Source organism: Homo sapiens, chromosome 10 (genome assembly GCF_000001405.40).
Source record: "Homo sapiens chromosome 10, GRCh38.p14 Primary Assembly".
Lineage (NCBI taxonomy): Eukaryota > Metazoa > Chordata > Mammalia > Primates > Hominidae > Homo > Homo sapiens.
The window spans coordinates 76,949,717-76,965,710 of NC_000010.11; the positions used below are offsets into that span (position 1 = coordinate 76,949,717).

A 15,994-nucleotide genomic window follows, 5' to 3' on the forward strand; every position below is an offset into this window, starting at 1 on the left:
GGAAAGAGAAGTCTTAGTTTCCATGAAATTGTTGATTAAATGAGCTGCCTTTTCTGGCTTGCTTGCTGAGATGATGATAAAATGGTCAGATGCCTGCACTGGGCTCAGTGGGAGAAATTTGACTTTAGAATTCTAGACTTATCAGTGAGATGTCCGTGCATCAGCAGGTGGAACATGCTACCTAAAGCCAGGAGTGGAAAACTACGACCCACAGGCCAAATCTGGCCCACTACATTCTTTTGTATGTTCAGTGAGCTAAAAATTGTTTTTGTGCTTCAAAATGGTTGAAAAAAAATCAAAAGAAGACAATGTCATAATCTGTGAAAATTACATAAAGTTCAAATTCCCATAAAGTTGTATTGGAATGCAGCCATGCTCATACGTTTAGGTATTGCCTATGGGTGCTTTTATGCTACAACAGCAGAGCTAATCAGTAGCAACAGAGATCTTATACCCTGAAAAACCTAAATTTTTCATTATATGACTTATTACAGAAAAAGTTTGCTGACCCCTGTCCAATGCTGCCTTGGACTTTCCAGGGACATTTCTGGAGGGGCCTGTTTTGCTTAAATCATTCAGAGAAAAGATCTCCCCAAATAATCATTACAAGGGGCTAGAGAGAGATTAGTAAGAGCAACAGGCCAGTGTCTTCCTCCAACTCCAAACCTCTATCTACAAAGGAGACAAATGAAAGAACACAGTCACTCTATTAGAGGAGAACCCCAACTTCCCAGGAAATACAAATGTTTAGTCACTGCTGGCCCTTTGATTCACTGAGCTAGTGAAGCCAGGAGGCCAGCCGTGGACCTTTCTCTGCCTCTCCTTCTGGTTCAATGCCTCCCATTCCTGTCCACCCACTGCATGCCTGGATGGCCCCATGTGGCTTACAATGCTTTGGGGGAGGCATATTAATGTCCACTGTACATATCAAACTCTGCTTGATTTAATCTCTAGAATTGACCACTGCATTGATTGTATAAATGCCAATGTTGCAATTCACAACAATGTCAGGGTTATTACAGTAACCCCCAAGGAGAGGAAGAAACTAGCTTTCACTCTCTGATCATTAGAATAAAGCAGGGGCTGTCACCATTATTGGTTTCCCTCTGCAATAGTCCAGGGAAACCGGAGACATAAGCTGTAAGAAATGCCTTAGAAACTGTGACCAAGGAAGACCCACTGGGGAGCTCACATCACATATCCCCACTTCCTGCAGAAGACCTGGAGTTAGTTATCTGGGCCGCACGGAAGTGCAAGTGCCTGGGTGCCACCAGGAGACAGCCAACCAGTCTATAAAGCACTGTTATGTGATGGGGCTCCTAATTATTTGTAATTGGCCAGGTCACCTGGGAGGCTAGCTCCCTTCAACAAGCCAGAGGAATATAAACTGGGCCCAGGGTGGAAGTGAATTCTAGAATAGGGAGGTGGGGAAGGCACAGTTAGTTGAGTGGCCGAGGCACAGATGCTGACCCCAGGAACTTCGATCTGGGATCAAAACACCCATCCTCAGACTGGCCACAGCTACATCACCCAGAGAACCTTATGAATATCCTAATTCTAGAGCCTCAGCCCCGGTGTGTCTGATTTTGCCGGGTTTAAAGCACACTAGAGAGAGAAACTGATCATTTCTCTATGTATCTGGAATTCCCATGCATCCTTCCAGGCCCAACCCAAGCACAACCTATGTGTGTATGACGGGACTTGCCTGGTCACTTAAACACACCCTAGTCCTTCTCCCCTACATTTCAATAGCATTTTGCACCTCTTACCACTTAGCTTTAAATACACTGTTTCATGGGTTACATTTTATATCTTCTCTCTAATTAATCCAGGAAATTACAATTGGGACTATCTCTTATATCTTCAAATCCCCAAAGTAGTTAGTTTCCCGTGCCCAGTGGGTACACAACCTCAAAGCATCCTCATGTAGCTGGCCCTACCTGTCATTCTTATCTCTAGCCGTGTTACTTTAGAGAGGGCTTCTTGGATCATACTTTCCAGACAGCACCTCCCAGTCTCTTTCTAGCCTACAATGCTGCTTTACTTTTTTCAAAGCATCCTATAAATATCTGAAATGTTATTAAGTACTCATTTGTCTACCTAGAGATAACTCCTCTTCCCCCAGCCCCACCCTGCTAGAACACAAAGAGATAACTCCTCTTCCCCCAGCCCCACCCTGCTAGAACACAAGCTCTGTGAGAGCAGTCGTTGTCAGGGATTGCATCTCCAGTAACTAGAATGGTGTGTGGCACATAGTAGGCCTCCTGGAGATGTTTTGTTAAATGATGTTATTTTTCATAGGATAGAAGTAGTAACTCACCTCCTTAAACTTTTTTATGCTGGCAGGAGATGTTGATTGAATATCAGTTGGCATGCATACTACACCAATATCCAGGCAAGTCATTAAAACCCTAGGTCCCAGATACGGCATCCAGCCTGTGACCTGCCACAAGTGGTAACATCAGGCTAAATTTAGGCCACCAGGGCAAAAGTGCCATGAATACATCAGAATGTACATATATGGCTGGGTGCAGTGACTCACGCCTGTAATCCCAGCACTTTGGGAGGCCAAGGTTGGCGGATCATGAGCTCAAGAAATCGAGACCATCCTGGCCAATATGGTGAAACCCTGTCTCTACTAAAAATACAAAAAAATAACTGGGTATGGTGGCGCGAACCTATAGTCCCAGCTACTCGGGAGGCTGAGGCAGGAGAATCGCTTGAATCTGGGAGGCAGATGTTTCAGTGAGCTGATAGGGCTCTGCACTCCAGCCTGGCGACAGAGCGAGACTCTGTCTCAAAAAAACAAAACAAAACAAAAAGAATGTACATACGTGAAGCAGCTTTGCGAGTAGAACAATTTGCACTCCTGGTCAGTTGGACAACAGCTGTTTGCTAAGAATTCTGACTTTCTGTGCTCTTGCCTGCAACTTTCCCACCTCTGAGACAGCCTCCAGCTTGATACTGTATTGGCTGTTAATGCTCATTTATAATTAAGCTGAGAACACACATACACATAGATAAAGCATAGGGGAAAGTCCAGTGTGTTAGCATACAAAGCCATTCCGAGGACCCAGAACAGTCCTTGTTTAGGAAGGGTGGTCCTGACATCAGAAATGATAGGATTTTCCTGGCTGACAAAAAGGAACAGACCCATACCAATCTGGGGATTAGAGGCCCAAGGGAGAAAGAACCCTTCCATCTGACTTTCCTGATTATTAATCCATTTCTCATGGATTAGCAAGACAATAAACTGTAGGAAAGCCAGTGTAGGCATTAAGACCCAAAGCTGTTAATAGAACAAGGGCAGAGAGTAGAATGGATTGTTACCTATGCTGACATTCCTGGGAGAGACTGGGTGAGCCCACTGCTGCTATGAAGATGTTCACAAGCCTTCCACGAAATAGGGCTCTGAGCCCCAGCCTCCCCAAGGGGACTGTAGTTCATTATTGTCATCATTATGTCATGCATCATCATGCATTTCCCTGTCTACAACATGCACTAAGAAAGCTCACAGATGCACAAGGCTATTATCTATAAGAATACAAAACATTGCTATAAACCAATAACAATACAGGCAGCATTCAGCTTTCCTCACAGCATTTAATAATAGTAAGAATAAGAGGTAACTTTACTGAGTCATCTGTTGGATTTTAATCTTCACTACAGCCCTATGAGTTAGGGTCATTCTCATCTCATCTTTTTACAGATAAGAAAACCGAAGTGCAAAAAGTCAAATGAATTACCCAAGCCATGCAGCTAATAATTGGTACAGGCAGGCTCTGACACCAGCGCCATGGCCACAGGAATTATGTTCATACCACCTCCCACCATGGCTTTCCCACAGCAAGTGCTCACCTACTCTTATGAGGAGCCAATATATTCAGAGATTGAAAAATCTGAATATTGCTTATGTTCTGATCAGAGGTCTAGCTGCTTCAATCTATGCTCAGAATTTCACTCATCAAAAATAATTAGGACCAGGGACAGTATTATCCCACTGTCCAACTAGGGAAACCCCATTCCTAGCAAATGTGGTTTGGGGCAGAAGCGGGCAACATCAGATGCACAGTCCCTCACTCACCAGGATGACTTTCTCTATCTCCTTGGGTGCACACCAGTGAAACATCCCAGTAGAGTCGTACTTCTTCACATTGGAGTCCATGTTGTCAATCTGATCATTGCCAGGAATTAACAAGGGGTCATGCCTGGGAAGAAAAGGACAGGAAAACCTAAGTGGAAAATGTGATAAATTATAAATGGAAAGTGCCCCCTGAATTACATCTCAGAGGATGTGAAAGATGCAGAGGAAGTGGTTGTCACTGAAGGCCATTCTTCTGCTTACAGAATCCATCCTTTGAGAGACAACTGCCCCAAACCACCACCCCACTTCTGGAAGTGCAGGTGACCTTTGTCAGGGAGCATTTCTGCCTTTCCCCCGCTCCTCTTTTCCTAAATGGTCTTCCTAACATTTTGTGGATTCAGCCTCCCTTTTTAAGGCTACCTCACTCCTCTTCCTCTCATTTTACCAGCTATTCGATCTCCCCAGCGTGCACACACACACACACACACACACATACACACACACAGACAGACACACCAAAGGGTTGCTATGAGCCTCGGCAATGAAGAGGAAGGAATAGGAATAGAGCCTCATGCTGACTGACTGGCATGAGGATGGAAAGCCAATTACTCGCTCCTTCTGACTACAACTTCTGACGTGATGCTCTTCGCAGTAAAAGCTTTAACAGGCTGCACTTTAAATATTTTAGCAATTTGCCCAATCAGATTTTGCTCTCCCTGGCTGAAGCCTTTAAAGATTCAGCAGCATGTCACTTCAGAGCAGACTGACTACCAAATGCCCACATCTGGAATACATGATTTCAATACTAAACAACACCCTCTCTCCTTGCCTTGACAACTGTATATGCACTAACCATCCAATGATGCTCCCCACCACCTTCACCTCCCAACTGCTGCATATCTTAGATGAGAGCCTCAAGCTCAGATGCATCTTAATAAACTTGTTTCAAATTCTCAGGGCAACATTCGCCCTCTATTGCCTTGTCTATTGGTGGAAAAGGAAGATGCTTCCATAAAGGCCTCCCGTCTAGTGGGTTGGCAGAGCCTCACTGACAACCTTAAGAACTGCAATGGAATCAGGCAGTTCTAACAAGCTTATAGCACAATAAATAAGCTCCTGCACCTTGAATCATAGTCAATGTCCATGCTTTTATCTCTGATAGTGATTCAGCACCTCGGGTTTGGGAAGTCATTGTTCCTTCCTGCAAAACTGGCCATATAATTAGGACATTGTCCCAGCTATACTTAACCACTCTTGAAATGGAGCTATCTTTTCTGAGTAATATTGTCAACACAAGACAGAAAATATACATCGGGTCACATTCCATAAATTGTAAAGTGATTTTACCTTTTGAAATTCTATATTTCAACATCAGAGGGTGACTTTTTTCTTTTTTCTTTTTTTTTTTTTTTAGACAGAGTCTCGCTCTGCAGAGGCTGACTTTTATTTACTTTTTACTATTTGTCCTTCTGAAATGTCTCCGATACTTCCCACTTATATGTCAAGAGTACAGAGTGGGACAGCAATCTCTTCCATGGCCCAAAAACCTAGGATTAAGCTTTTGAATAACTACCACGACCCTCCAATATGCTCCCCACTCCCACATAAGGTGAGAAAACTTTCTCACTGCCTTTATTTATGCCTGAGAATTTGCTTTTAGACTACACCAAATGACAAATACTATGTGAAGCCAACTTGCAAAGTTATCTTCAACGAACATGCTAGACTACTATAGGAATATCTGTCATATCTGATCTTAAAAGAAGAACAATCCCACTCCGAGTAGCATCTCAGTGTCTGGATTGTTGAGAGGTCTTGAGGTATGTAAACCACCAGGCCATCTTCCAAATACTGAACTTAGTCAAAGATGTTAAGATAAAAAGGCTGATAAGAACTATTTACAGATCAGGGTGAGAGCACATTTTGAGGGATGTTTTTGTCCTTGAAGAGTCTTTAACAGTTGCATAGATATCTATTAATATTATCTGGAATAGGTAGGTAGACAAAAGCCATCATGGAGAAGAGGTTTGAGAAAATGAACAAAATTAACTCTTTCCAGCCCATGAAGAACATATTTCAGTTGCAAGAGGATATTAGCAGACTTGCCCTGAAGATATAGAGCCAGGTTCAAATTCTCTTGCCCTGTTTACTGGTTGGAGAGAAAGTATTACCTCAGGATGACCTGAGACCTGCCCCTAGTGCATTTAGGATTTAAAAGATACTCAGAACTATGTTCCCATAATATCAGCAAGCAAGCAAATGAAACAGCAAGCTGACAAAAAACACTTTTAGAAAATGTGTGCCTTGGGGAAGAGGAGATACATTTTGGTTTGGTATACTTGATTCTTTCTGGGAAGGAGTCAGACGTTGTTAACAGTGGCCTACAACTTTCATCCAGAAAAGCAAATAAGCAAGCCTGATGATCGATCGCCCTTCAATAAAAAGAAAAAAGACAGCTAATGTCAAGCTTCATTAACTGGGGTAGTGGTTTCCAGAAACCAGGCATAATTTCACACTGGAGCTCAAGCCATGGTTTGCAATGGAACATCCAGAGGCATCCAGGAAGTCTTAGAGGTATGCCACACTACACTCTACTCCCCACACATCTCTCATCCTGGCCTGGACCATTTAAATATAAACAATCCAGGATTTCCCCCAAGAGACTGACCTGAGGAACATCAAAAACCTCCCGGAACAAAGACATTACCCTCTCTGACCAGCATGGTACCTGGAATTCTAACTTTGGTTTATTGAATCAGTAAAGCAACCAATTGAATCAGTAAAGCAATCAATAAGAATCCCCTATTCTGAGCATGGAATGGAGGCTACAGTAATGATTAAGATAAAGTCCCTAGTCAAAGAGAGGTCCACAAGATAGCAGGAAAAAAATATATATACACCAATAGTTCAATAGTTACAGTACCTTGTGGCAAGTGTTACAGCAAAGTACAAGGTGATACAAGAATACCAAGAAAAAAGCTGTTCATATCCTGGTATTTGGGTAGCATTAAGGAAGGTTTTGCAAAGAAAGTAGCATTTGGGCCGGGCGTGGTGGCTCAGGCCTGTAATCCCAGCACTTTGGGAGGCCAAGGTGGGCGGATCATGAGGTCAGGAGATCGTGTCCATCCTGGCTAACACGGTGAAACCCCATCTCTATTAAAAATACAAAAAAATTAGCCAGGCATGGTGGTGGGTGCCTGTAGTCCCAGCTACTCTACTCGGGAGGCTGAGGCAGGAGAATGGGGTGAACCCAGGAGGTGGAGCTTGCAGTGAGCCGAGATCACGCCACTACATTCCAGCCTGGGCAACAGAGCGAGACTCTGTCTCAAAAAAAAAAAAAAAAAAAAAAAAATTAGCATTTGATCTGAACCATGAGAAATGAAGAGGAATCTCAGCATGTTGCAGTGTTGATCCACTAATAGCCAGTAGGACCCACCCAGAGAATTGAGGCCCAAATGAAAAGGGCCAAATAATGGCACCTAAAACCATGGCTGAAGATGCCCCATACCATACCACCTAACCTAAGGTACAGAAGACTCAGACCAGGCCTTCCAGCTGTCTCCAGATGTGCAATGACAGTCAAGTTGAAGATGGATTAAACTGATTGAGTATGACTGATTGACAGCAGACTAAGAATGATCCATGAGATTAAGAGAGAACAAAAATCATGGTTCCAAAACAGGAAGATTGTTATAAAAATTGAAAGTAATTCAAAAATGAAATGAGTTGTTGCCCAAGACAGTGGGTTTTCTATCATTGAGCCATTCCACAAGAGCAAGGGATACAGTGAGCATATGCATATAAAGGTTGGGCGAGCCTAGAAGATCCTGAAGGTTTGAAGCACTGTGCTGTCACTGGAGAAAGACACAGCTAGAAGAATTTTGAAAGTACTGGACCATTGTTGGATATCAGAAGGCTGGAGAGCCCTGAGTAGGTAAAGAAAGGTTGCTAGAGTGAAGATGAGAGGTAAGCAGCGTGGGAGAGGGATTAATTTATGGCTCCAGTAAGGGCCAGCACTGTTACACACTCACTGGATTTCACAGTCTGGGAGTAAGCTGGGAACACAATTCGTTCCAGCAACAATAGAGTCTGTAACTGTTTCTGGCCAGACAGTATAAATTTCTTTACTATGGCTGTTGCTGTAGTAATTTCAAGTGCCTTAGGCTGGCCTGTGCTGCAGAGAGATCTCTGGAACAGGTGGAGAGTGTACAGTCAGTTGTCCACAGGGACTAAATCAAAGTTTCTAAAGCTTCTATTGCTAGAAGAAAGTCCAAGCATTTGCCATTGAGCACACCAATCAACACTGCTGTGATCCAGGGAGACCCAGAGGAATTGGGCCGTTTGTTGTATGGAAAGGAGGATCATGAGAAATCTCCCTGAACAAGGGATCCCAACATCTTCAGTTTGCAAGGTGATAGAGACCCACTTCCAAAGCCTCTCCCACAACTCCTCAAAGACCAGTTAGTTGAAATCAAGGACCAGGATTAGATATTGTCTTTCACATCATAATGACATTACCTAAGTCTTCCACTCACAAAGTAATTTTCAATTTCCCTAAAAGGCACCATAATTAATTCAAGGCTCACTTGTCACTTGCGACTTAGCCAATGTACATGCCCTATTTTAGGGTAATAGAAACTCTATGATGTGAGATATATCTGCTGTTTCATTTTTATGGGCTGAACTGTGTTCTCCCCCAAATTTTTATGTGAAGTCTTAACCGCCGGTACCTCAGAATGTGACTGTATTTTGAAATATGGTCTTTAAAGAAGTAATTAAGTTAAAATTAGGTCATTGGGGTGAGTTCTGATCCAATAGGACTGGTGTCCTTACAAGAAGAGGAAATTTGGGCCAACTTTTCCACAGGAGGGAAAATCATGTGAAGACAGAGGGAAAAGACAGAGATCTGCAAGCCAAGAAGAGAGGCCTGAAACAGATCCTTCCCTCAGTACCCTTGGGAGGAACCAACCCTCCCAGACTTTCATCTCAGACTTCTAGCCACCAGAACTGTGAGAAGCTCTGTTGTTTAAGACACTGGGTCTGTGATACTTGATTACAGCATTCCTAGAAAATTAACACAATAGCCCACCTTGAAGAAAAACAGGCACAATATATCAGATATCCCTTAGCTGAAGGCCCCCGGCTGCCCTTCTTGAATCTTAAGTTTTTCTTGTCCATTTAAGGGGGGGAAAAAAGCATCCCGCCATTATTTCAGGAATACATAGACATATATATGTAATACCCAGTATCTCCTCTAAAGGTTTTCGGCCAATATCCTTCCCCTCTCCAACCACCTTCTCTACCCCACCACCAACATACAGGCATGTTAGATCTGCTCTGCCAGAGTGGTAACTTCTCTCCGTCTTTAACTTAGACATGCATTTGAGGATCAATGCCAATGAAAGCCCAGCTTAAAGCAAAGAGGAAGCCTGAACACTAGCCAGCTAATTTGAGCAGTCTGACTTATAGAGTCCATCTCCAAATGGAGTGTTCAGGGGTTGATACCACTAAGGGCAGGAAACCACCTATTTCCTTAGTGACAGTATACCATAGTGGTTAAGCGCCCTGGCTCCAGAGCCAAAATGTCTGTCTTCAAGGCTTGGCTCACCTATTACTTGCTAAGTTGTACATTGCCTTAGTTTCTTCATCTGTAAAATGGGAATGTTAATCATTAGCATTATTCAATGGATTCCATTTGAGGATTACATGAGTAAAGATATTTCATGCCCTGAATACAGCATCTGACCTAGAGCATGTCCTCAAGAAGTGTTAACTAGTCTTATGGTTATCATCCTTTATACTTTGCTTAGGACCCACTCATGTATTACTAGCTCTGATTATGGTGAAAGGAGGCAGGAAAGGGAGAGCAGTTCAATAATAAAGATATAGAGCTACTGCTATTATTTCTACTACTGCTACTATTAATACTACTACTATTGCTGCTACTAGTGCTATTACCATTGTTGTTACTATGATGAATAGCTGCCATGAGTCCAACACTTCCAAATGTTGGTGCACTAAAACTTTTACCTACATTTTATGATTTGCTACTCACAAGAACACCTGTAGGTAATTTCTGTTATTATCGGGCTCTGTGTATACATGGGAAACAAAATAGATAAGTAACATGCTCAGGTGGCACAGCCAGTGAGAGGAGAGGCAAAGCCTTAACAAAAAGGTCTACTTGGCTGAAGGCCAGTGCTGCAGGGTGCCCACCTCATACCCTCCCACTTTAAGGAGGCAGCCATATCTTGTTCATTCTCCATCAAAACACCCCAAGTTGCAGTGTTCTAAGCAGCCAAGAAAGGGAAACCAGCATCGCAGGCATTTACAAAATGCACCACTTATGTGAATGATTAGCAGAAATTCACCCCATAACCCTTGCATCTCAGCTCACCCTCCAGTGTCCACAGCTAGAAATTCAGTGTGCCTAAAGTCTAATAAGGAACACAGGCATGGCCAAGTATGGTGGCTCATGCCTGTAATCTCAGCATTTTGGAGGGCTGAGGTGGGCAGATCACCTGAGCTCAGGAGTTTGAGACCGGCCTAGGCAACATGGTAAAACCCCATCTCTACAAAAAATATAAAAATTAGCCAGGCAGATGGTGCACGCCTGCAGTCCCAGGTACTCAGGAGGCTGAGGCACGAGAATTACTTGAACCCAGGAGGTTGAGGCTGCCAGTGAGCCGAGATCACACTACTGCACTCCAGCCCAGCAACAGGGCCAGACCCTGTCTAAAAAAAAAAGAAGAAGAACATAGGCATACCTCATGTTATTCAACTTTGCTGTATTGCACTTTGCAGATATTATGGTTTTGTTTTTTTTTTTTTTTTTTTTTTTTTTTTACAAATTGAAGGTTTATTTTTCCATTGCTAGAGCACAGGCAGAGTAGATTTCACATAATTCTTAATGCCTATGGGATTTTCAGAATGTTAAATGAGCTTTGACTTCAACTTAAAGTCACCAGCTGCATTAGTTCCAACAAGAATCAGCCTGTCCTTTGAAGCTTTGAAGTCAGGCATTTACATCTGTTTACAGCATGATCTACTGAATATTTTAATCCTGCTGTTGAGACCTACTGCTCAGAGAAAAAGATTTCTTTCAAGATGTTACTGCTCACTGATAACGCACCCAATTATTCAAGAGCTCTGATGGAGATGTATAAGATGAATGTTGTTTCCATACCTGCTAGAACAACTACCATTCTGTAGCCCATGGATCAAGGGGTAATTTTGACTTTCAAGACTTATTACTTAAGAAATATATTTAATAAGCTATCACTGCCATAGTGATTCCTTTGATGAATCTGGGCAAAATAAATTGAAAAACTTCTGAAAAAGAATCGCCATTCTAGATGCTAATAAGAACATTCGTGATTCATGGGAGGAGGTGAAAATATCAACAGGAGTTTGGAAGAAGTGAATTCCAACCCTCATGGATGACTTTGAGGGCTTTAAGACTTCAGTGGAGGAAGTAACAGCAGATGTGGTGGAAAAAGTAAGAGAAATAGAATTAGAAGTGGAGCCTGAACATGTGACTGAATTGCTGCAAACTCATGATCAAACTTGAACATATGAGGAGTTGCTTCTTACGGGTTAGCAAAGAAAGTGGTCTCTTGAGATGGAAGCTACTCCTAGTGAAGATTCTGTGAGCATTGTTGAAATGACAACAAAGGATTTAGAATAGTACATAAACTTAGTTGATGAAGCAGCAGCAGAGTATGAAAGGATTGACTCCAATTTTGAAAGAAGTTCTACTCTGGGTAAAATGCTATCCAACAGCATCACATGCTACAGAGAAATCTTTTGTCAAAGGAAGAGTCAGTCGATGCAGCAATCTTCATTGTTGTCTTATTTTAAGAAATTGTCGCAGCCACCACAATCTTCAGCTACCACCCCCCGATCAGACAGCAGCCACCAACACTGAGGCAAGACCCTCTACCAGAAAGAAGATTAAAACTCACTGATGACTCAGATGATTACTAGCATTTTTAGGAGTAAATTATTTTAATGAAGGTATGTACACACTTAATAGACTACAGAAGAGTGTAAACCTAACTTTTATATGCACTAGAAAAAAAATGTGTGTTACTTGCTTTATTGCGATATTCACTTTGTTGTGGTGGTCTGGAACTGAGCCTGCAATATCTCTGAGGTGTGCCTGCAAAAGATCTTTGTTTTGAGGATTCGCAGAGCAAGAAATGCCACTTGGCATCAATTAATCTCAGGAAGTGAACTAAATGCCCTGCTACAACAGGAACAGAAAAAGCTCGCCTTGAAGACAACAGCCTAAAGCAAAACCACAAATCCCTTTTCTAGCAAACCTGCTGTGAGGAAGCTGATATCATATTTTAAAGTGCACAATTTCCCTTACAGGCAAAGACAGCAAATCCCAGTTCCTTCGGTGGCACTGGGTTCAACGCTGGACTTCAGAAATTTACATGAAAGTACAAAAAACCAGCCAAACACACAAAAATGTTATGAAAAAGGAAAGTTACAAAATGGCTAGAAAATTGCATTCTTTTCTCTGCTTGATTTTCGAGACCTCATGTCTTATCACACGATAAGGCCTTTTCTGTCATTATGAGCATCCCATCCAAATTAAGGGCATCCTACAGTGGTCTCCCTGGGAGATGAGAGGCTTGATTAAAAGGAGGTGAATTTCTCATCCCTCCACAGACCTTTTATCCGAGCTGCAAATACTGACTTTATTGAGCATCTATTATGTAAGGCACCATGATGGGGCTAACAAGACATTTCTCAGACTTCACAGTTTGGCTCAAGTGTTCCTCATAAAGCCATCATCCTGAACAGCCAGAGAGACTGAAGTTATTTTCCCTTCCTGGGAACTTCTAGAGATGCTCCTTCGGCAATAATAATTTCCATGTCTGTTTTATCCATTAGATGGTGAACTATTTAGGGGCAGGGATCTATTTTGCTCTTCCATGTATTTCCAGAATCCAGCAGAGGATGCAATCAAACTAACTAAAGGAACTGATGAATCATCTCTAGTCCCCAAACACTCTTCAAGCAGTCAACAGAGACTCAGCAAACCTTTCGTGGAGATCCAAAACGTGTGCAGTGAGAACCCATTTACCTCTGATATCTTGCAACAATTTGTTTTTGAACAATCAGGGTTCTTGCATCATTTTTCATTTACAGGGACTGCGTATGAATTAGGACACAGAGCATTTGCTATAAAAAGGGCATTGTGATGTGAAGGACAACCCTAAATTATGTCTCTAACCAGTCAAGGCTGCCTGAAGTTCGCCTGGAGCCAGCTGCTGTAACTAATCAGCAGGGAGGACTCATGTCAGTGGTCAGACAGATGTTCTTAATTAAGCAACTATTTGGTTCTCCAGTGCAAAGTCTGAACACTTCTTAGAGATGGGCCCCCATCACTTCAAGCTCCTCTCACTGTTCTGATTCTTCAAAAGAGTGGTTCTCAAACTGTGGCCCAGACCAGCCGCATCAGCATCACCTGGAAGTTTAACAGAAATGCAAATTTCCAATCCCCAGGCCAGATCTGCTGAATTAGACTGTGTAGGGCTGTGGACCAGCAAGCTATATCTTAACAAAGCCCTCCAGGTGATTCCGACACCTGCTAAAGTATAAGAACCACCACTATAAAGTTTTGCCCAGATGGAGAATCTATATGGCTTCAGTAAATCCTACCCAAGTTAGCAATTGTCAACAACACACAGATTATAAGGCTGTAGTTCTATTCAGCAAAGCCAGGACTACAGCTAGACAAGAGGGTGCCTAGGGTGCAAAATTGAAGGAGGCGCCTCACATTCTGGGTGCCTACTCTGATTCTCTGTGACTCTGTGGAACTCGAGGCATTGTGTCAACACTTGATTCTTGATGGGGATTTACTGACTAGATGCTGCACTAATGACTCTCTCTTGCTGACTTCTCTTCCCATGAGCTAATCAGCAAATAAATTTAAACAAGCAAATTAAATACTAGTCCTCGCAAAGTGCAATACTTACAATTCAGTGTTCTACCCTTCTTTAACAACATGGTATCTAGTCACTAAGACCTTGAGCACAATGTTCAAGAATATCAGGCCACACGGGTCTGTCTGAGCCTGTATCAGACACAGAAGGCTGGATTAGGCCTTAGGTGGTCTCCTCAAAAGGAATCATAGTTGGGTGTTCAGCACCATAAATGGTTCCAACTGGATCTGCCTCATTCTTGGGTGCCTTGGCTCCTGGGTGATTACTATTTCCTGATACTTCCTGAGGCTTTGCAGAGCAAATCCTGGCTCCTGCCTTAACACATCCTTCAACAGGGCTTCCACTCTTCTGATAATGATCATCACCCCCGAGACACCACTGCCCACCACCCTCTCCCCATCTCCCACTTGACGGCCATCCCTGGAGCCACACTGACAAAACTCTCAGGCCAGGCTGTAGCCACCCTGGCAGAACTAGGGTCCTTTTCAATTTCTCTGCATCTATCTACTTGCATTATTTTCCCTGCTGCCACCTAAGATGTTATCTAGTGTTAGGCAGCCAGCATTCTCAGAAGAAGGAAATGGTTGCCTTTATGTTTGGGAGACAGCCTGGGAGAACCAACACGTTCATCAGTCCTACAGGAGGTTGTACAAGATGCTCTTGACACAAGAGGGCAAGGTCATGACCATCTGCTGAGCATGAACTTGTCCAGGGACCTGTGTGGTCCACCCAAGCCTCAGTACCATGACACCAACTACTTTTTTCTTCTCCAGTCCTGGGGGAGGCCTGTCATATGCTATCAGTTTGTGCATTAAGAGATGAATTTACTTAGCTAAGCTGTCCCTGCCTTCCTTCTTTCTTTTGCCCAGTGGAAGGAATTGTGAGGGTGACTTGGCTCAGTCCATTTTGCCATTTTCTATTACTAAAATCTTTCATGCTAGCAGGCTCTGATGTGAGAAGTCCTAACAAAATGACCCCACGAAAGGTTTGAGTCAAAAGAGAGGTGATGAGACTTAACAAGTAGATGAGTTTATTTCACTTAATGACCAGGAGATGCCCAAGAGGATAATCTGTTTTCCTCAAATCATATTTTGCCTCCCATTCAGGAAACTAATGTCTAATATTTTCTGGGTCTCCTGACATGAAACTCTCCTCAAAATGTTCAATTTCTTTTTTCTGGGTGTTGTCAATTATCCTTGCCAGCCCAGCTGGGTGCTATCTGTGTAAACTGTCCACCTGATACATCCTATGTAAATCCTAACTTTCACTGAAGTTTTCATTGAAAGTTTATAGGGTTGGTAAGGCCCCCAAATTAAGAACTCTTGACCTAGCTATTTAGAGACAAAGTCTGTGCTCCCCAGGACTTTACAAATGAGGAAAGATGTAGCTATCCTTACAAGGCACCACCCCACTAAGTAGGGAGAATTGGGCCACGGGTGCTTGATGATTTTAGAGGAAAACTAGGATGATTTTAGAGGAAAACTCTAGGTCTCAGGACTGATGTCAGGAATTACGTGTGTCCTTGGGAAAACTATGTATCCCAGTCCTGGTCTACTATTCTACAGCAGACCCTGAATGGCTTAGCACACAAACGGCCTTGGCAGAGGCTGGGGTTGAGTGGGCCTTCTATTTCACACCTCTGTGCTTATGTAGTGTGTGTCTCAGAAATCTCCTGATGGAGGACTCCCAACCCTTCTCTCTGCTGCCACCAGTGATTCCCCCAAAACACAAGTTAGGTTACCGCCTCCTCGAAAACCTTCAGGGGTTCCCTAATGCCTATGACAAGCAAAACCTTCATGACTGGGTGCCAGAATACTCTTACATTCTCCACTCCATCTAGGCCACTCCAAAGACCCCTGGCTATAGCCACACCCAGGCATTTACTGTGGTCTGAGCACTGTCCCTATGTCTTCCATCATCCTAATTAGGGAAAACTTACCTAGATTTACCA

General features: G+C 43.0%; 1 protein-coding gene and 1 long non-coding RNA gene across 54 annotated transcripts in view; one reads left to right on the forward strand and one right to left on the reverse strand.

Moving 5' to 3' along the window:
• Positions 1 to 15,994, reverse strand: part of KCNMA1 (potassium calcium-activated channel subfamily M alpha 1) — a 768,207-nt gene that overhangs the window by 80,115 nt on the left and 672,098 nt on the right. For 52 of the 53 annotated variants that reach the window (NM_001271518.2, XM_017016222.3, XM_024447990.2 and 49 more), the window contains one exon: positions 4,085 to 4,208. In NM_001271518.2, coding sequence (NP_001258447.1) covers positions 4,085 to 4,208 — 124 coding nt within the window. Of the gene's footprint in view, positions 1 to 2,320; positions 2,444 to 4,084; positions 4,209 to 15,994 lie in introns of all 53 variants that reach the window. The other variant, NM_001161353.2, reaches the window with a different exon arrangement.
• Positions 1 to 15,994, forward strand: part of KCNMA1-AS1 (KCNMA1 antisense RNA 1) — a 90,550-nt gene that overhangs the window by 61,673 nt on the left and 12,883 nt on the right. The window lies entirely within an intron of this gene.